This window comes from Homo sapiens, chromosome 21 (genome assembly GCF_000001405.40).
Source record: "Homo sapiens chromosome 21, GRCh38.p14 Primary Assembly".
Taxonomy (NCBI): Eukaryota; Metazoa; Chordata; class Mammalia; order Primates; family Hominidae; genus Homo; species Homo sapiens.
The window spans coordinates 42,115,397-42,136,529 of NC_000021.9; the positions used below are offsets into that span (position 1 = coordinate 42,115,397).

Genomic DNA, 21,133 nt, shown 5'->3' on the forward strand with positions numbered 1-21,133 from the left:
ACAAGACCCCTGGGCACCCTGTGGCCACGTGGACTCTGAGCAGAGGCCTGGCCAGGGCCCTAAGTCCTGTTATACCTGGGACAGCCCAGTTTGCACCCGTAGCCCTGGCAAAGTTATTTAATGGTGCCTCCACATGCTTCAAGTCATGCCAGCTTGCTGGGAAATTGTCTGAACCCCAGCATGGGGGAACGGCAGCAAGGAAGGAAGGCTATGTGTGGTGGGGAGACAGTTGCAGGGGCGAGCTGGCTCTGTGGCCTCTGGAAGGTTCTCCCACTGTGTTCAGGCTGTGTTCTGTGTCCTCTGGAATCTGATGGGCTGTGTCCCTGAGCCCTGGCACTATTCCTTCTTTCTAGAACACGGGTTGGCTTTGGTGTGATGCTCTTCCTGGACATGAAAATACATTTATTAATATTGAAATGTTAGTCTGTTATCTAATACAGCACCAATTCCAAATGTGCTTATCCTCCATCCTGCAGCAGCCCGGAAGCTCATTGGAAAGGTCAGAATCAAAAATGTCAGGTACTCAGAATCCTTTCGCAACGCAAGCAGCCAGGAGTATCGAGATTTCCTAGAACTATTCTTCAGGATGGTGAGTTGGTGATATCAGCCCTTAATTCCTTTCAGGAGGGAAAGGGTGGAAGGCTGATAGAATTCTAGGTTAGGCACGGTGGCTCACCCCTGTAATCCTAGCACTTTGGGAGGCAGAGGCGGGCAGATTGCCTGAGCTCAGGAGTTCAAGACCAGCCTGGGCAACATGGCAAAACCCCATCTCCACCAAAAAAAAAAAAAAAAAAAAAAATACAAAAAATGAGCCTGTCATGGTGGCGCATGTTTGTGACCTCAGCTACTCAGCAGGCTAAGGCAGGAGAATCTCTTGAACCCAGGAGGCAGAGGTTGCAGTAAGCCGAGATCGTGCCACTGCACTCTAGCCTGGACAACAGAGTGAAACCCTGTGGGAAAAAAAAAAAAAGAATTCTAGTCTCATCCAACTAGGAATTTGACCTATAGGTCCTATGAGCTCCTCATTTCTGAAGGAAGCCAGGACGTTAAGCTCTGGCCTGACTCCCTGAGTGTCCCTGGATCTGCCCCGGCGAAGACACGGTTAGCAGACAGGAGGCACAACTCTTCCTCTGCTGCATCCTTACTTCACACTTCACTTTCTGTCCAGTGAAACCTGTTTTTCAGTTGTGGAACCTATGAAGCAGAAAGTCCCTCCACGGTTTTTTTTTTTTAAACCTGTAAAAAATGAGATTTATTTCACAGACCATAAAATCTACTTTTAAACTGTACAATTCAGTGGTTTAGACTATTTTGCAAAATTGTGCAACCATCACTACTAATTCCAGAACATTTTCATCACCCAAAAAGAAACCTTATACCCATTAGAAGTCACTCGCAGCTGGGCATGGTGGCTCATGTCTATAATCCTAGCACTTTGGGAGGCTGAGGTGGGTGGATCGCCTGAGGTCAGGAGTTCTAGACTAGCCTGGCCAACATGGCGAAACCCCATCTCTACTAAAAATACAAAAATTAGCCGGATGTGGTGGCGGGTGCCTGTAATCCGAGGTACTCAGGAGGCTGAGGCAGGAGAATCGCTTGAAACCAGGAGGCAGAGGTTGCAGTGAGCTGAGATCTTGCCACTGCACTCCAGCCTAGGTGACAGAGCAAGACCCCATCTCAAAAACAGAAAAAAAAAAGTCACTCCCTCTCGCCACTTCCTCCAGCTCCTGGTAATCACTTATCTGCTTTTTGTCTCTATAGATTTGCCCATTGTGGACATTTCACAGAAACAGAATCATACAATATGTGACTTTTTGTGTCTGGCTTCTTTCAGTTAAAATGAGGTTTTCTGGTTTCATCCACGTGGCAGCATGTGTCAGCACTGGATTCCTTGTTATGGCTGGGGCATAACCCATGCAGTCTCATCCATTCATTCACCGAGCGCACTGGGCGGCTCCCGCCTTCTGTCTGTTATAAATAGTGCTGCAATGCCCCTGCCTCAGAGAAAGTTCTTTTCCTGCTCTTTCCTGCATTCCTCCCTGCCATCCCCTCAGCATTCTCCAGGATGCTATCTGTTACCATTTAGTGACATGCCTTCTTGTGGACTTTTTGAGGTATAGGGAGTGCCCTTGTCATAATCTAGTGATTTTGTTTGCACGGAATCTCACATTGTAGATTTCCTGAGTCTGAGCTCAGCACAGAGAGGGTTTGACATTGCCACCTAGTGGCCTGTCGTGGTAATACCGTAGCAGGGCTGCAAACCCCAGCGCTTCCCCCACAGATGAGAAGATTCGACAGCCTTTGGGAACGGCCTAGCTCATTCCCTGCTCCTGGTTTGTGCATTCAACAGTTGTTGACGGTTTGATTAATAATGTGATTTCATTGATAAGGTTAAATAGTAGTTAGAATATTAAACAACAAACACTGAATCCTTCCACCTGGCTCGAGTGGTCAAAAGAGGCAGCTCCGTTTCCTTCCCGAGTTTCTTGATTAATCTTTCCTCTTTGAACCATTTCTTCCTTTGCCCATTTTTGGGGTGTTGTTTTTCTGTTTGCCTAGAATTTCAGGACAGCAAATAATTATACAACTTAATCACAGAAGTAGGATGTTAAGAGAAATTTCGGGGGTTTCACTTGCTGATAACCGCAGACGTGGATGTCAGGAGGTGTTGGCTGCATGGCTTGGTCCCTGGCTCTTCACCACTTCCTAGCAAGGGGCCTGGAAGTTTGCTTAGAGGTTGGTTTGAAATGCAGCTAAAAGTCACATTAATCCAAGACTATGCCAGATTCCTCTGAGAGAAAGAGAGAGGGAAGAACTGATTGTGAAGATGGTCACGACAACAGTCATCTACTGAGCCAACCAAGGGCAGCTGTGGTCTCCCTGGGGTCCACAGGCTCTGAGAGGGACAATGGATCTGTTCACCTTGGTGGCCCAGAAGCCGGGAAGTGAGTCCATGACCCAGGCCTTGAGCCATCGCACCTGTGAGGACAAACCCTGGAAGTACCCATAGGAGGTTTGCACTGAGGATGATTGAAGCTCATTATAAGATTGTTTGCCTTTCTGAGTGCTTTGACCATGATGGGTTAGCATGGAATCAATCATATAGCGTGTGGTGTGTGACTGTGTCCAAAGAGACAGAGTAGAAAGCAGGGCGTTCGGGGGCAGGAACCCCCTGTCCTAATGGGGAAGTTGGAAATGCTCACAGGAAGCAGTCTGGGGAGAGGTAGGGAGGAAGAATGAAAGGGGACATGTTCTGCAGTGCCAGGAGCAAAAGAGCTGTTCCAGAGAAGGCAGCGGGAAGTGGTCTCCCTCCCCACGACCCTGCACTCAGCCCCCTGCCCTCGGTGGCTGCAAACCAGGAGTATTAGGTTCTAGAAGCCCTTGTGAGCCCCCAGCAAATTTTAAGCCCCATGAGGTAGGGTCTCTGCCTGTGCCCCCAAGTCCCACCCTCGCCCCACAGGCATCTTTCTGAAGCCGTTTACTGGTTTGGGGGGGGAAACAAGGGCTCTTCTCATATCACAGACACTCCCAGGCGTTTGTGCTGGGCTTGAAAACACAGCAGACAGGAAAGGGGCCCAGAACCAACCTGTGGCTTTTACTTTGTGCCACGGGCCAGCCCTGCTGCTGGGCAGACTGGCAGGAGGAACCGCCTTGAGACGGGCATCTGTTTCCTCTCAGCGTGGGGACCTCCTCACATGGCCTCTTTCCCCGCAGGTGCGGGGCTCCCTGCCAGCCACCATGTGTCAGCACATGGACGCTGGTGGGGTCAGGATGGAAGTCGTCAGCGTCACCAACGGCAGCATCGTGGTGGAGTTTCACTTGCTGATAATCGCAGATGTGGATGTCCAGGAGGTGTCAGCTGCATTTCTCACCGCCTTCCAGACCGTGCCTCTGCTGGAGGTGATCAGAGGCGACACCTTCATACAGGGTACGAGAGGCTGGGATGGAGCCTCTCCCGTGTTCTGGAACCAGAGGCAGCCAGAGGGCAGCCACCACCCTTCGCTTTTGAAAGATGTCGTGTTGTGCCCATGTGGTCCTTCTTCCCCCAGAATTAGATGAAGATGTGAAATAGATAGGACCCTGTCTGTCCCTCTTATTGTGATTATAATTGTGTAAAGGTTGAAGTGTTGAAAACATCTTTGGGTGAACCTGCAGATCCCCAGGGGTGCTGCTTTCTTTCCGGGTCGACTGCCCCCTCGCTGCTTGTTTCCATGGGCTGAGGGCAGATGCATCCCTCTCTGCAGCCAGACTCTCCCCCAAGCATAGTTCCCAAGGAGATCCCAGTAAAGATAATTAACGAGAAAAGCAGGGAGAAAAAGACAATTCAGATTCTTTTCTCCTATCATACTTGAACATAAATGATGAATGGCTTATAGTTACATGTATCAGAAACAAAAGACTTTTTAAAAATTGGAGATTCATATTAATTTTTTGATTTTTAGAATAAGAAGGACTTCCTAAAGAAAATACGATTTTTAGAGGAAAACGATGAGATGCTGACTGCATGCAGAGATAAATCAAAATAAAGGCACCATTTTAACGCAAAGTAAACAAAAAATTTTTCAATAATTTGGTGAAGTGTTAGTATCCCAAATATATAGAGAGATCATACAAATAGATAAATATTAAGAACCTGATGGATAAATGCACGAAAGCTCTACACAGACAAGGTATAAAAGAAGAAATATGAATGACTAACAAAGATGTGGTAACCCAAGACATCCCCATTAGAATGCATTGCACTGTTTGCCCATCAAATTGCAAACAAAAGGTCTCTTTACTGCTGACATGAATACTGGTGAAAGTGTAGTGAGGCAGGTGTTTGCACAGATTGCTGGTGGCAGAAGGATTTGCTCATGCTTCCTGGAAACCAGTTTGGTGACATAAATCAAACGCTTTCAAAGTGGCCATCCACTTGGATTCTGAAATATCAGCTCTACGACTTTGTCCTAAGGAATTTGATCTGTTTGGACCGTAGTTTAAATACAAAGATGTTCATCTTCAGTGTTACTTTAAAAGCCAAAGAGTTGGAAATCACCAATCATCCAGTAACAAAGAAGGTGCTAAGTTACCAGGTGTCCCCGCCCCGGGCTGTTATGCAATGATGAGAATAGCGGTTTGTGGATTTGCATGGAGCTAGTTGGTGGCAGAGGCAAGCTATGCTCTCAGAGCATGCCTGCATTTTAAAAGGCTGGAAGGAAATACGTCCACATGCTAACTTGCCCCTGGCCACGCTTTTCTGGTTCTTATCCATGTTCTGCAGTAAACCTGTTTTGCTGTCAACAATCAACCCAGCATCATGGCGAAAGGCAAATGGCCTGAGGGCCTTCTGCCCAGGGTTGGGCTTGCAGCCTGGGTCCCTTGGGCTGGACCGAGGTGGATCTGGGGGCCTGTGCATCTCCTGGTTACTCCCGGGAACTGAAGGGATGGCCCTGCTCTGCCCAGATCCCCCTCCCAGCCCTGGGCCAGAATCCTCCTTCCAGAACAGCCCCTGCAGACATACTTAGCCATTCCCAGCCCCAGCTTCAGGAAGCCTCCTGTACTTTCCAGAACTGGTGAGCTTGACTGCAGTCTGCTGTGGCTGGAGTTTCCAGCTTTGTCTGTGAGATGCACTCTCCCCCAACCAGGCTGCTGTGAGACCACAAGCCCCCAGGGATGTTCTTCTGTTTTGTCTTCTAAATGTTGTGCAGATTACGATGAGTGTGAAAGGAAGGAGGACGACTGTGTGCCGGGGACATCCTGTCGAAACACCCTCGGGTCTTTCACTTGTAGCTGCGAGGGAGGAGCCCCCGACTTCCCTGTGGAATATTCTGAGAGACCCTGTGAAGGTAATGTCGTCAGAGTTTCTTCTTCTGGAATACTGTATCATAATCGGTTTTTTTTAAGGACATTCACGTGCAAAGGGCTTCTTGTCCCTCTGAGGTCATATTTTTATGTCCTGGGGAAGTTTCCTGTGTGTGATGTGGGTGCACGTGTGTGTGTGTGTGTGTGATGTATGTGTACATGTGTGTACGTGTGTGCATGTTCCTTCCCATTCTTTCATATGTGTCCAGGCTTCTGGGCAGTGCCTTATCTCTCCAAGTGCTAGCTCTGATATCCATGGAGAGAAAATATACACATACATGAGGTGTGAACGTGCAGATGCTGAGCGACCGTCTTGTGAAACACGCAGCCGTGGGACACGCGACACAGGGGAATGTTTCCTCTTGGCCACTCTTTCCACCCAGCTCTTTTCCTGCTAAACGGGGTCTTAGTGGATTTAACACTGACCCCACGTTGGCCACTGCTATCCAGGAATCTGCGTCAAGTGAAGGGAGGTGGGCATTTATACCAGTGAGTGTGGTATCCGGGGGGCTATAGAACGTGTCCTGCTTGAGGTAGAATCAGGAAGCACAGAGGAGGCTAAGTTGCTTCAGTCCAGTGAGTGTGGCCAGGGAGGGCTTCCTGGAAGTGGTGTCTTGAAGCTGGTCTTAATGGATAGCTAAGATGGCACCCAGCAGGGAGGGCAGGGCATGGTGGGTGGGTGCCGTGGTGAGAACAGAGCTGGTGATGGGCGTGATCTCACATGCAGGGACCTGCAGGAGATGGGTGGCAGAGAGCGAGAAGCAGGCTGCCCAGGGAGGCGGGTGAGGCAGCAGCCAACTGTGAAGTCCTCAGCAATGGTTTGGACTATGGCCCAGAGACAGGAGTGAGCTGGGTGGAGCTGCAGGGTGCTGGGGCTGGGCAAGCCCCACTCTGAGATAAAAGAAGGCACAAACCAGGCCCACAGATGATGGAGCCACTGCTGAAGGAGGGTGGAGGGCACGTGCGGAGCTGTGTCTGGGGTCTGCTTCCATATAGACCACCCCGAGAACAGGTGGGTGGATTGGAAAGCTTTCCGGGCCCCTTGTTCTCCTAGGCATTGAAACTGAACCTGCTCTGGGGGCAAGAAGGGAGCTGGAGTGGGAAGTTTGGGCACAAGGACCTCAAGAGGAGGCATCATTACCCCATCTTAGAGAATAGACTCAGGGCTCTCAGGGCAGAAGACTCACCCTGTATCCACTGGCTTGGCACATCCCCGGCATCAGGTCCCTCGGTCCTTGGCCCTCGGGGGCCCATGGTGAGCCTGGATCCCTGAGCTGGTGGAAATGTGCAACATGTGCATGTGTGCGTGTGTGTGTGTCTGCACGTGTGTGCGTGCGTGTGTGCATGTGTGTGCATGTGTGTGCATCTCTGCGTGCATGTGTGTGCATGCACGTGTGTGTACGTGTGTGTGCATATGTGTGCGTGTGTGTGTGTGTGTGTGCACGTGTGTAGTTGTGGCTGGAACATGCGGTTCCCAGGTGTGGCTGCTGCAGAGTGCAGGGCAGCTCCAGTCTGCTCCTTACCCCTGCCCCTCCATGCCAACCCCAAACACAGAGCCACTCTTTGCCTTTTCCTCCTTGTGCCTTGCAGGTGACTCTCCTGGCAATGAAACCTGGGCCACCAGCCCAGAGAGGCCTCTCACCACAGCAGGGACCAAGGCTGCCTTTGTGCAAGGCACCAGCCCCACCCCCCAAGGCCTGCCCCAGCGGCTGAACCTGACCGGAGCAGTCAGGGTGCTCTGTGAGATCGAGAAGGTGGTTGTCGCCATCCAGAAGCGCTTCCTGCAGCAGGAATCCATCCCCGAGTCCTCGTTGTACCTCAGCCACCCCTCCTGCAACGTGAGCCACAGCAATGGCACACACGTGCTCCTGGAGGCCGGCTGGAGCGAGTGTGGGACCCTCATGCAGAGCGTAAGACCAGGAGAGCCAGGCTCAGGATGTACACTAGGGCGCAAGGGGCTCTAGGTTACATGGGCCTCGATGTGGGAGGGCCAGGCAAGACTCTGCACCCCGAGGGGAACCCAGCAAGGGGGGTTCAGGACAGGGTTGAGTTCTCAACCAGGGACCAGCCTGCACCCCAGAATCGGAAGGGAGCTGTGAGTCCACCCAGGAGGGACTCTGGTGCAGAGTGCTGGGGCAGGCTTCAGAGTCACGGCTTAAAACTCCTCCCTGCACAGACAGGATGAGAGGCAGTGGGACAGGAAGAGGCAGGAAAGCCAAGGAGTCCTGTGTGATATGAGAGTGTGTGTGTGTGAGTGTACGTGTGTGCATGTGTGCATGTGTCTGAATATGTCTGTGTATGTGGGGGTGTGCATGTGTGTGAATGTGTGTAAATGTGTGAATCTGTGTGTGCGAATGTGTATGTGTATATGCATGGCTGTGCTTATATGTACGTGCGTGTGTGTGTGCATGTGTATCGCGTGCTTGTGTGCGTGTGGGTGTGCATGCATGTATGAATGTGTGAGTGTGTGAATGTGAGAATGTGTCTATGTGCATGTGTGCATGTGTGCGTGAGTTGAGCATGTGTGGATGCGTTTGTCCATGTGTGAGTGTGTATGTATGGGTGTGTGTTTGGGGGGCATTGGATGGCATTAGTCAGAACTGCTCTGTCGGAGGGACTGTGTTCCTAGCGAACATTCTCTATTTCAGGGTCCTGGATGGGCTGTGGGGCTCCCGGGACAGAGGGAGCCCAGGTGGGGAAAGTGGGTTTTCCTGGCCTGAGGCCTTCGCACCTCTGTGTGCACAGATGGGCTCTGGCACCTCCCCTTGCAGGTGACTCTGGGCCAGTGCGTCCTGGGTCTACTCTGAGCCTCTAGTGTGTGGCACCCATGAGGTAGCTGACCTGGCTCCAGGTCCTGCTTCTTCCCAGGGTGCCTCTGTGTCACAGCGAACGCTCCCATGCAGGCCCTTGTTCGTCTCCAACCCCACTTGGCCACATGGAGCACAAAGGCTTCGTGTTCAGGGCCCTGCTTGGGGGACAAGAGGAGGGGAGAGCCAGCACCTTCCACCAGCTCAGCCTGGTACTGGACACAGGGGCCTGGGCCGCATGGGCCTGGGAGTGCAGGGTGGATCAGGGAAGCTGCCTGGAGGGGCCGGCGGCTTCAGAGGGAGCCCGTGCCGGCTCTGGGTTGGGGAAGTGGCCTTCTGGGAAGGGGCTCGACCTAGAAAGGAGGCCAGCGTCGTTCCAAGGGTGAGTGAGAGAGCTGTGAATGTATCCAAGGGCCATGCCGGGGGTGGCTAGATGAGGGAGGCTGGAAACCATGGCGGAGTTAAGAGTCTGTCCGAGTGGTTCTGGTCAGGTGGGCAGGGATGGAAGGGTGGACACTCATGGGCAGGGTGGGGTATGAGGCCTGGTGGGAAAGTGGGGCTGTGGATGGGGCTGAGCAGGGAGCAGTGCCTGGCCTAGGAGCCAGGGCCAGAAGGCTCTCCTAATGGGGACATTGTCCTCATCGGGAGCTAGGCAGGAATGGTGGTTCCTGGTCGTTGGCGGGAACTCTGGGCCCTGGGCTTCTGTCCCTCAGGACCTTTGAGCAGTCCAAGGCATTGCATTCTAAAAAAAGGGATTGGTTGGGGTGGTGCCCTGAAACCACCGTGGACCTGCTTGGCTGAGAGTTCTACATGCATGATGATGTTTAGTCCCTTAGCGACCGCATGGGTCAGGCATCATCATCCACGCTCTGCGGCTGAGCCCTGGGTGCTCGGCAGGGTCCATGGGAGTTCAGGGTCAAAGTCAACCTGACACCGAGAAGCAGCCCCGTCCCTGTGGCTCTGCCTCTTGAGGAGCCTTGAGGGGGTGCTGCTTCTGGTTGGGGGTCTGGACACACTCCTTAGTGGGGACAGGGCGGCCTCTGGCACTGGATGGGTCAAAGCTGTCAGATGAAACCCAGAGTCCTGGCATGGGGTGTCAATGTCTGGGAGCCGACAAAGTGGGAACCGGGTGGACGTCCTGAGCAGGAGGCTGGGACATGGACCTTGGGGCTGAGTAAGGAGCTAGCCCTGGGGAGCAGAGGCCAGAAAGCCCCAGGGGCTGAGGGATGAGGTGGGGAGGTGGGGCATAAGGTGATTCCATGGTGTGGAGCCTGCTTGGAGCCTGGAGCTGGGACTGAGGGTGGCCAGGAAGCTGAGGGATTCACGTGGACGCGTCGGAGGCCATTGCAGAGCACAAGCTTGCCTGGGAGGCACAGCTCACTCTGCCGAGCTCATTCCGCCCCCTCGGGGGCTCTTCAGATCCTCCCTGGGCTGAAGGAGTAACCTGCACTGTTTCAACAGCTACAAAACCTTCCTCACCCTTCAGCCCCTCAAATGGCACAACTTAAGCAGAACTGCCCAGAATTAGTTTTCTCCCTCAAAGCTTCTTAGACGGCCACCTGGAGGCCGAGCGTTGGCAGCAGGGGGGTGTCTGCAAGGGGGATGGGCGGTGATCAGTGGCTCCTGTGGCTTCTCGGCAGTTTCCCTGGTGAGGGAGGTCTGGGGTGAGAGGTGCATGTGGGCCGGGCCACAGCGGCATCCTCAAGCCTATGCAGGGCTCTTGCAGGGCTGCGGGGCCAAGTGGAGGGGCTGAGGGTGCAGGACAGCCTGCCTGGTGCTCAGATCGCCACCCACACAGCGGCAGCTCCAGTGGAGAGACAGCGCCTCCCAGGACTGGGGCCCTGGGCAGAGCCTGCAGCCGGCAGCTCCCTCTGTGTTTTTCTGAACCAGACCAATGCTTGGCTTGATTATTAAATGCAGCAGGGTTTGGGGCATGTTGAAAGAAAAGGGAATTTGTCTCTGATGACTCACCCAGTCCCTGAAATCCACAAGAGCTCTTGACGGTTTTTGACACTTGTCAAAAACTAAGTTTCCCAGAAAGACTTATTTGTGCAGCTGCCACGGAATCCCCACAGGTTCAGGTGCTGCCTCCTCTGGTCAATAGGGAATGAGCAGAGGCCGAGCCCTTAGGCTCTTAGGCAGTTTATGGTTGGGAGAATCGCCAGGATCTCGATGCTGCTGGGGAGAGGCTTTAGAGAAGAACCCCCATCCCCCCAGCACCTAGAGCCGTGGCCCACAGCAGGGCGTGGGGGGCCGGCTGGGGCCTGGGAGCTCCTCATGCTCCGCTTTGTGCTCAGAACATGACGAACACCGTGGTGAGGACCACGCTGAGGAACGACCTGTCCCAGGAGGGCATCATCCACCACCTGAAGATCCTGAGCCCCATCTACTGCGCCTTCCAGAATGACCTGCTGACATCCTCCGGCTTCACCCTGGAGTGGGGGTAAGGGAGAAATGCCCCGGCTGCCCCACAGCCACGTGCCTCCAGACCACCTGCGCTTTGAGAGTTCTTTAGGGTGTCAACCACTTAAGGACCCTTCCTTGAGATGGAATATACAAATGGGTGTGGCCTGGCTGCTCCCCAAATTTTGTTCCCTCTTCCCACTCAGGGCTAGCCAGAGAAGGCCAAATATGTCCCGTGGCCAATCCCATGGGATGGCCCCACTTCCAGTGAGCCACTGGCAGGCCGCCACCCAAGCCTCCATCAGGCACCACTTTTTCTATAATGGACCCCCCACCTTCCACTGAGTCTCCACCTATACAACTGAGGGAGGCAACCCCTGGACCAGCCAGCCCTGAATAAATGGCCTCCAAGTGCTCTCGTTTGGGGTTGAGGGGGTCTTCTCGTTCATTTGCACGTTCCTCTGGAGCTGTGTTTTAGGGGAGAAGTGGGAATGGGAGGGGCCACGATAATGCGCCTCCTGAAACATGCCTCCTGCAAGCTGCTTCCTCTTGCAGGGTTTACACCATCATCGAGGACCTCCACGGCGCTGGGAATTTTGTTACCGAAATGCAGTTGTTTATCGGAGACTCTCCCATACCTCAGAATTATAGCGTGTCTGCCAGTGACGATGTCAGGATCGAAGTGGGGCTCTACAGGCAGAAAAGCAACCTCAAGGTGGTCCTGACGGAGTGCTGGGCAACCCCGTCTAGCAACGCCCGGGACCCCATCACCTTCAGCTTCATTAACAACAGGTAGGGCTCAGGAGTGCAGGCACCCCCATCCAGCAATGCCTGGGGCTTTATTAACAATAGGTAGGGCTCAAGAATGCAGACATCCCCATCCAGCAATGCCCAGGGCTTCATTAACAATAGGTAGGGCTCAGGAGTGCAGGCACCCCTGTCCAGCAATGCCCAGGGCTTCATTAAGAACAGGTAGGGCTCAAGCAGGCACTGCCATTGCCTGGCCTTGCTGTGTGGCCAGCTCTGGGCTCTGCAGGATTTCCAGGCGAGTGCTGTCATGGACCTGGGTTTTGGGGAACAAATGAGGTGCCCGGTCCTCGACTTCCACGGAGCCTGTGGAATCTGCGAGTGTCGTCAGATGTAGTCGTGAGTAAACTCATCTGAGAACAAGGACAGCGGGGCTCGCTGACAAGCAAGGAGTCCCATTTCCTCTCTTCTCAGCTGCCCTGTGCCCAACACATACACCAACGTGATTGAGAACGGCAACTCCAATAAGGCCCAGTTCAAGCTGAGGATCTTTTCCTTTATCAACGACTCCATCGTCTACCTGCACTGCAAACTCCGCGTCTGCATGGAATCCCCCGGAGCCACGTGCAAAATCGTAAGTGTTTTTTGGTTTTCTAAACGTTTGGTTGGATTCACGTTCCTTATTGTTACGGTTCGAGGCTCTGTTAATAAAAACCTAGGGCTCGAGTGGCTCGGGGCCAACCTCTGGGAGGAGTCGCTGTGCCTGTCCTGCAGACTCCGCGTCTGAAATGGTATTTCCACGGCAGGCAGCCCTTGGACGGAGGACTCATGTGGACTGGTGGGCATTTCCCATTTCTCAATGGCTGAGCTGAGTTCCTTCTTGAGGCCATAATATTCAACCGGCTGTCGCGTCAGCACTGCCTTGCCATGATACCTAGTGCTTCTAAGGTGATTTATAGGTGTAAAAATATTTTTTAAATATTATTTTTAACAACATTGATGGAACATACTAAATATCAGACACTCTGTTATTTAATAAAGTTTTTTCCCCTTTCCTTTGTTCAACAATCATGCAGGGATAATTTTACATTCCTGTTTTCCTTAGATTTTTGAATTTGAAATATGCTTTGTAATCCTGAGGTTTGAAAACTGTGCTTTATATCACAGACAAGTACATGAGGTTCCCACATGTTGGTCGCCTGTTGTCTGAGGCAGGGGACAGCTTAGGGAGCTCCGCTGCTTTTTGCTCAGTGACCGAATGCTTCTCTCTCCTCGGAGGTAGTGCTTGTTCCTGCTCTCATCTGAGCTGTTTTCCTGGGTGACCAAGCTCTGAGCGTCTGCAGGACGTGGATAGAGAAGCAACACAAGGAAGGCTGATTCTGTTCATGTCTGTTTTGCTCAAACACTAGATCTTCCTGAGCAATGGGACAGAAGGAACCTCAGGTCCTAATGACAGCAGGCTGAGGGCCACACACGAGGAGCCTGCCCCTGGTTCCACTGGAGCCTCAGAGATGACAGGAGCACGGACAGCCACCGCCAGGCTTCGTCTCTGCAGGGAGCGGCTGGCTCTCAAGTTCTCTACAAGAGAATTCTTTACAAGAGGAGCGGCACACAGTGTGTTTTTCAAGCTCCTTTAGGATGGATAGATAGTGTATGAGCTTTCCGGGCTGCTGTAGGAACGTACCACAAACTGAGCGGCTTAAACAGTGGAAACTTATTGTCTCTGTTCTGGAGGCAGGAAGTCCAAGATGGAGGTGTCAGCCGGCTGGTTCCCTCTGAGAGTTCTAAAGGAAGGATCTGTCCCAGGCCTCTCTCCCAGCTTCTGGTGGCCTCGGGCGTTCCTTGGCTGGTAGACGGCATTTGCCCTGTCTCTCGGTGTTGCCTTCCCTCAGTACACATCTATGTTTGTGTCCAAATTTCCCCTTTACAGAGGGACACCAGCCATAGTGGATTAGGGCCCACCCTGATGACCTCAGCTTGATGATCTGTTTCCAAGTAAGGTCACATGCACAGGTGCTGGGATTTAGGACTTCAATCCCTTTTTGGAGGACATGTTGCAGCCCATCTCAGGCATCTAGTGAGCAGATCCCACCATGTCACTGAGCCAGGCAGTCTTTTTTGTAAGGCAAAGGTGTAAAGGGGAACAAATGGCTGCAGCAACCTTTGGAGAACACAGAGGGACTCTGAGGGCTGTGACCAAGACACAGTCCTCAAGGGACCCAAGGAAGCAGCTCTAGCAACCAAAAGCAGCTCAAGGGGTCTTCTCCAGCCTGCTGCTCTTGCAGACCTCACTTCCTTCCCCGCTGACGCCTGGGCCTGCCTCTTGTTGCACCAGGACCCACCACCCTGGTCTCACCAGGTCTCCCACTCCTCTGTCTAAACTCAGCCCCCTTGCCTTGCAACTTCTAGCAGGATAAAATCGCATACATCACATTAGCATCCTTGATAGTAGCTCCTTTCTCATAAATGTTGTTCAATTAATTTGACGTTTCTCTTCTTGGAAAAAAAAAAACAGAATTGCAATAACTTTCGGTTGCTGCAAAATAGTGAAACCTCTGCCACACACCAGATGTCCTGGGGACCCCTCATCCGGTCTGAAGGTGAGTTGATGACTTGGTTTAGACAATGAAAGAAAAGATGCAACCGATTCCTTTTCACCAGCATGTAAATAAAAAAGTAACTGTTGTGAAATGCAGAACTCTTGAGAGACTTCTAAGAGGCTTATCATAACAGAAATACTCATAGTTAGTATTCACTGAGAGCTGCTACGTGTCAGCCTGGCACTAAGTTCTTTACATGCAGAATGTAATATGCTCCTCTCAGCAACCCTATGGAGCATGAGCTATTACCATACCCATGCTACAGATGAAAAGACTGAGGCTTCAAGAGGCCAGGCACAAAGTTACATAATGAAATGTTTTGAGCTGCATAATATCAAGCTGGTGAAGTTTTCTGACACTGGGTAAATACATCCAGTGGGCTGTTAAGAGATAAGAACTCAAGCTATAATCAGGCCATGTCAACGTGTGTGTGTGTGTGTGTGTGTGTGCGTGCACACGAATGTGCATGCACAAGGAAAAGCTATTTTATTCAAAAGATGCAAAAAATGGCATATCTGTTCCCCCTCAGTTTAAAACTTCCATTAGCCAATTACATTGCATGTATTTTCAAAACCCCACATCAACTTTCCAGAAAAACATTTTATTTTCTATATGGTCCATCATCTTATTTTGAAAAAAAAATACATTGGTTTGGGGAAAATTGTGTGCTTTGGGTATTAAGAGAGAAACCGCTAGTTGTCCCGTAGTATCTGTTCTCCTCCCCTTTCATAGAAATAGCGTCCCCAGGTTTTGCTGGTACATGGCTGCCAGGAATAAAAACTGTAATTCCAACCTCCTGGCAGCTAAGTGTGGCCATGTAAGTTCTGACCAATGACACGTAAGTGGAAAAGTCATGTGACAACTTTTAGAGGTGCACCCTCCTTAAAAGACGTCTGTGCCTACCCTCTGCCTCTTTCTTCTTTAGGGCTGTGGGGCCCAGTCCTTGGAGGGATCTGGCTTCCCAGGACACCATGGGCAAGTGGCCAAGGCAGGCCTGGGTTCTGACCTCCACTTTTTTTTTTTTTTTTTTGAGACGGAGTTTTTCTCTGTCGCCCAGGCTGGAGTGCAGTGGTGCGATCTCAGCTCACTGCAAGCTCTGCCTCCTGGGTTCACACCATTCTCCTGCTTCCTACTCAGTCCCGAGTAACAGGGACTATGGGCACCCACCGCCACGCCCGGCTAATTTTTTGTATCTTTAGTAGAGACGGAGTTTCACTGTGTTAGCCAGGATGGTCTCGATCTCCTGACCTCATGATTTGCCCACCTCGGCCTCCCAAAGTGCTAGGATTACAGGCATGAGCCACTGCTCCCGGACTGACTCCCACTTTTATGACAGAAGGAAAGAAACTTCCATGTCCTTTAAGCCACTGCTATTTTGATTTTTTTCTCTTGCTTGCTGCTGAGCCTAATCCTAGTTGGTTTTCCTTTTTTTGTTGTTTTTTTCCCTAATCTTGATGACCCTCTCCCTTCTCTGTCTTTCCCTGTATGAGAACTTCTGGGGTTTGGATGCAGGGTGTGAGCCAGAATCTGAATGCTGCTCAGGTCTTGGCCATGAAGCTGGGGAACAGGAGGAGGGAGGTCTCGGCCATGAAGCTGGGGAACAGGAGGAGGGAGGTCTCGGCCATGAAGCTGGGGAACAGGAGGAGGGAGGTCTCAGCCATGAAGCTGGGGAACAGGAGGAGGGAGGTCTCAGCCATGAAGCTGGGGAACAGGAGGAGGGAGGTCTCGGCCATGAAGCTGGGGAACAGGAGGAGGGAGGTCTCGGCCATGAAGCTGGGGAGCAGGAGGAGGGAGGTCTCGGCCATGAAGCTGGGGAACAGGAGGAGGGAGGTCTTGGCCATGAAGCTGGGGAACAGGAGGGAGGTCTTGGCCAGTGACTCAACTGCTGGTTCTCATTTAAAGCATTTGGGAAACTAAAAAAGTAGACACAGGTCCCAGGCCACACCCCAGGCCTACACACAGAATCTCTAGAGTTGGGTCCCAGGCCCCTGAGCTGGTCATCAGGTGACTGTTGGTCAAGGTGCTGGGACAACCTGCTTCTCCTCACTCTTCATTTTCTTAATTTCCTGGGAAGAACGGGTCAGCCTATTTCTTTCACCCTATAAGAAATAGCATATGTGTGAAATATGTTCTCATTAATAGATAATGTGTTCTTTCATGAATAGAAATTAAACTTCCTCCTTCATTCATTGATATCATAGGGAATGTCATGACTAGGGGGTGAAAAGCACTAGACTTGGACTTGGGACACCTGAATTTGATTATAGGCTCTGACACTTATGAGCTGTATGGTTCATCCATCATCCACCCATACATCTATCTCATCTTTCCATCTATCATTTTTCCGTCCATCCATCCATCTACCCATTCATTCATCTATCCATCTATCATCCATCCATCCATTCATCCCTCCACTCATCTATCATCCATCCATCCATCTATCCATTGGTCATCCATCTATCCACCCATTCATTCATCTATTCATCTATCATCCATCCATCCATGCACTCATCTATCATCCATCCATCCATGTATCCATTGTTCATCCATCCATCCACCCATTCCTTCATCCATCTATCAACCATCCATCATCCATCCATCCACTCATCCAACCATACATTCATCTGTCATCCATCCATCCATTCAACTATCATCCATCTATCCACCATCATCCATCTATCATCATCCATTCGTCCATCTATCATTCATCCTTCTGTCATCCCTTCATTCATCCATCCATCCATCTATTCATCCATCCATCCTCCATCATCCATCCATCTGTTCATTAATCCATCCACCCACCCATCCATCCATCTATCCATCCACCCATTTATTCATTAATTCATTCATCTACTATGTTTCAGATACTCTGATTTTTCTTTGCAACATGCCCTCCCTACCTCATAAGGTTGTTGTGAGTGTCTAATGGTAACTAAGAATTCTTTGTGAGGCTAAGATTTGTGAGGTTGAAACTAGGCTCCCTGGATTCACAACTTGGCTCTGGCACTTAATAATTTTGTGGCTTTGTGCATGCTGCATATGAATTGTGCCTTATTTTCCTCATCTTTGAAAAGGGAATAATAATAATTCCTACTTCATAAAGAGCCTGGCCCATAGAAGTTATTGAATAAGTGCTACTTTTCACTTGTAACCAGTAGAGCACTACACTGGCATAACCAAAGCAGGAAGCACGGAATGTAATAAGGGTGTAATTTCTCACGTTCAAGAACAAGGACTGTAAATATTCATGTTGTTCAACATTCTTTCTCATTGTGTTAGTAGCTTTTGTTTGATCTATGACTATCATACAAATACACAGCAAAATCATTTAGACACATGGAATCTCCCAGTTGGTGGGGACTTGGCTGCATTTTAATAGTGTATATTAACAGAAACACTGTTGGAGACTGCAGAGATGAGAGGAGGCTGGCAGACAGGTTCCTCAGGACCTCACCGCTATCCGCGGCCTCTGAGATCCCACGCTCTGTCCCTGCCATCACCATCACCTCCGTTTCAGGGAAGAAATGAGAACAACTCAGAGATTTTAGGGAATGTGCCTAAGCTCACACAGCTGGTACCTGCACGAGCTGGGCCTGCGAGTGCAGATCCAGGCTGCTCATAACCCACTCTCCTCTCTCTGTCTCCTGGGGACTGAGCTGGCTTCATTTTGAGGCTTCCCTCCACCCCAGCCCTCACATCACACTCACGATGTCTTGGCACCACCACAACAAAGTCCCACAGCCTGGGTGGCTTGAACAACAGAAATCTGTTCTCTCTCAGTTCTGGAGGCCAGAAGTCCAAAATCAAGGTGCTGGCAAAGCCACAGTCTCTCGCAACATTGTAGGGCCAAGTCCTCCCTTGCCGCTTCCTCGTTTCTGCTGGATGTGCCCAATCTTTGGTGGACCTTGGCTTGCAGCTGCCTCCCTCCAGTCTCTGCCCCCGTCTGCACATGGCCTTCTTTTTATAAGGACACCAGTCATGTTGGACTAGGGGCCTATCTACCTGCTTAACTAGTTGCACCTGCAACAGTTCCATTTCCAAATAAGGCCATGCCCCACAGTACTAAGGGTTAGGATTTCAATATATCTGTTTTTTGTTTTGTTTTGTTTTGTTTTGTTTTGTTTCGTTTTGTTTTGTTTGAGACAGAGTCTCACTCTATTGCCAGGCTGGAGTGCAGTGGCATGATCTCGGCTCACTGCAACATCTGCCTCCTAGGTTCAAGCGATTCTCCTGTCTCGGCCTCTAGAGTAGCTGGGGCTGCAGGTGTTGTGGGCCACCACGCCAAGCTAATTTTTGTATTTTCAGTAGAGATGGAGTTTCACCATGTTGGCCAGGATGGTCTCGATCTCCTGACCTCATGATCTACCCACCTCAGCCTCCCAAAGTGTCAACATATCTGTTTTTGCAGGGGGTGAGGGGTTCACAGTTCAACACATAGGTAACCCTGTATATTGACAATTTAAGAAAGAATCCATTCGGGCATCTTCCCTGAATGTCTGCCACCAACAAATAGTACATCAGCATGATAATTTTTGCATATTCAGTTTTCGGAACTCCTCCATGGCCTTTCTTTTCCTAGCTGGCCCACTTATTTCACATTCATGAGCATGTCCCTGTGCTAAAAGGCCAAGAAATTTCGAGGATAGTGTCCAGGGAGTGCTCAATGTCCCAGCAGGAAGGGCCTGGAGCAATTACTGTAGCTGCTCAGCAGTGAGGAGACTGAGGCGGTGGCTGAGCTGGAACTCAAACCCCTGGAAGGGCCCTGTTTCCTCTGAACGCGGGTTCTTTTTTAATTTTTTAATTTTTAAAATTAGTTAATTAATTTATTTATTTTTGAGACAGAGTCTCGCTCTGTTGCCCAGGCTGGAGTGCAGTGGTGCGATCTCGGCTCACTGCAGCTTCTGCCTCCTGGGTTCAAGTGATTCTCCTGCCTCAGCCTCCTGAGTAGCTGGGACTACAGGCGCGCACTACCAAGTCTGGCTATTTTTTTTTTTTTTATATTTTTTTAGTAGAGACGGGGGTTTTACCATGTTGGCCAGGATGGTCTTGATCTCCTGACCTTGTGATCCGCCCGCCTCAGCCTCCCAAGGTTCTGGGATTATAGGCGTGAGCCACCTTGCCTGGCAATTTTTTATTTTACTTTAAGTTCTGGGATACATGTGCAGAACGTGCAGGTTGTTACATAGGTGTACATGTGCCACGGTGGTTTGCTGCACCCATCAACCCATCATCTAGGTTTTAAGCCTCACATGCCTTCTTCCCTTTCCCTCACTGGGTTATATCCCCCTTTACAAAAGCAGCCATTGCTGAATTTCAGCCGTCATTTAAATTTCCCCCGCATCGTGGACTGACATGTGGTCCAACGGTCACGATGCATACACAGCTCATGCCACACGCATGGAGCCTCCCTGAACAGGGAGATAGATGCCCTGTTTGGCAGGATGCCTCACCAGTGGCTGTGGGAAATTACCATCCACAGTTTTCAGGGCTTGCTCTCCACTTCTAGCTAATCTGGCCATGGGGAGTAACCATTCCTGGACTTTGGTGTCAGTCAGTGGGCAGCACTGGCCTGTGGACCCCCTGTGGCCAGCCCTGAGCTAGTGGTTCAGTTCGGAGCACACAGCTGCAGGTCACAGAAACCTAGCTGGAGAGGTGGCAACTGAACAGGGATGGGTCTTTCCCAGGGCTGAGAGTCCAGGGCCATTCCGGGCTGCAAAGGGCCAGCAGGAGCGGGTCTCCTTGGTCTTTCTACTCTGCATCCTCAGGGCGGCACCCCCCCTTGTGCTGGCAAGGTGGCCCGTCACTCGAGGCCCAGGAGGAAGGTCCACTACAGAGCCCCTGGGGGCTGGATTTAGTGTCCATCGTGATTTAGGAGTTGTCTGGGGAAGTGGCCGGCCGGGATCTGGGGGCCTCGGTTTCTTGGGGAGGGTGGAGTCACTTTGGCTGGAGGGTGGGAGGTGTTCCCTGTCCCTCTCTCTGGAGGAGGGATGGTGTGGTTCTAGCTGGCTTATGTTCAGCACCCCAGGGATCCGACAGTGCCATTGTTGGATGGCTTTGCTGATGGTGACGCTCCATGCTGTTCCCTGGGGGACACACAGCAGCGTCCACTCTGGGCAGACTGCCCGGAAATCAATACAGGGAATGAAAATGGGATCTCAGATGCTCCTGGTTGCACAGAAAGGCTGTTTCCAATGCAGACCTTCCTGATATGTGGGGATGAACACCCTGAGATGGAGGGGACTGGGTGGTGCAGGATGTGGCTGTGACCTGGCTATAGACGCCCTTGACAACGAATTATACCCACACACGGTGGGCAGAGGGTCACATCTCCCCCTGGGCTCATAGGGGCCAGCCAGAGAGCCAGCAGGCAGCTGGCATCTTTCTCAGGCAGCACAGTTTTTAAAAAATTAAACTGAGATGAAATTCACGTAACCTCAAGCTAACTGTGTTAGAGTAAACGACTCAGTGGTGTTTAGTACATTGAGAGTGTTTTATAGCCACCAACTCCATGTAGTTTCAAAACATTTTCCTCACCCTAAATGCAACTTCATACGCATGAGTCCCTCCCCATCCACCTTCCCCCTGTCTCTGAAAGTCACTCGTTTGCTTTCTGTTCAGTTCCGGGTAGTTCCTATGAACAGGGTCATGTTATTGGTGCCTCTTGGGCCTGGCTTCCTTCACTCAGTGCTTTCACTCAGCGTGACATCTTCAAGGTTCATTTACGTTGCAGTG

The 21,133-nt window shown here is 51.1% G+C and overlaps 1 protein-coding gene across 6 annotated transcripts in view, besides 6 other annotated features; it reads left to right on the plus strand.

Annotated features, from left to right (window-relative positions):
* Positions 1-21,133, plus strand: part of UMODL1 (uromodulin like 1) — an 80,120-nt gene that overhangs the window by 52,520 nt on the left and 6,467 nt on the right. For all 6 annotated transcript variants that reach the window (NM_001199527.3, NM_001199528.4, NM_173568.4 and 3 more), the window contains 8 exons: positions 477-589; positions 3,715-3,928; positions 5,691-5,828; positions 7,435-7,754; positions 10,949-11,094; positions 11,610-11,846; positions 12,276-12,435; positions 14,317-14,401. In NM_001199527.3, coding sequence (NP_001186456.2) covers positions 477-589; positions 3,715-3,928; positions 5,691-5,828; positions 7,435-7,754; positions 10,949-11,094; positions 11,610-11,846; positions 12,276-12,435; positions 14,317-14,401 — 1,413 coding nt within the window. The remainder of the gene's footprint in view (positions 1-476; positions 590-3,714; positions 3,929-5,690; positions 5,829-7,434; positions 7,755-10,948; positions 11,095-11,609; positions 11,847-12,275; positions 12,436-14,316; positions 14,402-21,133) is intronic.
* Positions 4,613-5,318: an enhancer, noted in NCBI's record as "NANOG-H3K27ac-H3K4me1 hESC enhancer chr21:43540119-43540824 (GRCh37/hg19 assembly coordinates)". NCBI's record gives its function as "activates a minimal SCP1, AML or CMV promoter by ChIP-STARR-seq in primed H9 embryonic stem cells {active_cell/tissue: H9 hESC(primed)}" and the evidence as "EXISTENCE:reporter gene assay evidence [ECO:0000049][PMID:30033119]".
* Positions 5,306-5,435: an enhancer, noted in NCBI's record as "active region_18504". NCBI's record gives its function as "activates an Ori minimal core promoter by ATAC-STARR-seq in GM12878 lymphoblastoid cells {active_cell/tissue: GM12878}" and the evidence as "EXISTENCE:reporter gene assay evidence [ECO:0000049][PMID:35858748]".
* Positions 6,155-7,092: an enhancer, noted in NCBI's record as "H3K4me1 hESC enhancer chr21:43541661-43542598 (GRCh37/hg19 assembly coordinates)". NCBI's record gives its function as "activates a minimal SCP1, AML or CMV promoter by ChIP-STARR-seq in naive and primed H9 embryonic stem cells {active_cell/tissue: H9 hESC(naive and primed)}" and the evidence as "EXISTENCE:reporter gene assay evidence [ECO:0000049][PMID:30033119]".
* Positions 7,093-8,029: an enhancer, noted in NCBI's record as "H3K4me1 hESC enhancer chr21:43542599-43543535 (GRCh37/hg19 assembly coordinates)". NCBI's record gives its function as "activates a minimal SCP1, AML or CMV promoter by ChIP-STARR-seq in primed H9 embryonic stem cells {active_cell/tissue: H9 hESC(primed)}" and the evidence as "EXISTENCE:reporter gene assay evidence [ECO:0000049][PMID:30033119]".
* Positions 9,357-10,130: an enhancer, noted in NCBI's record as "H3K4me1 hESC enhancer chr21:43544863-43545636 (GRCh37/hg19 assembly coordinates)". NCBI's record gives its function as "activates a minimal SCP1, AML or CMV promoter by ChIP-STARR-seq in naive H9 embryonic stem cells {active_cell/tissue: H9 hESC(naive)}" and the evidence as "EXISTENCE:reporter gene assay evidence [ECO:0000049][PMID:30033119]".
* Positions 10,131-10,902: an enhancer, noted in NCBI's record as "H3K4me1 hESC enhancer chr21:43545637-43546408 (GRCh37/hg19 assembly coordinates)". NCBI's record gives its function as "activates a minimal SCP1, AML or CMV promoter by ChIP-STARR-seq in naive H9 embryonic stem cells {active_cell/tissue: H9 hESC(naive)}" and the evidence as "EXISTENCE:reporter gene assay evidence [ECO:0000049][PMID:30033119]".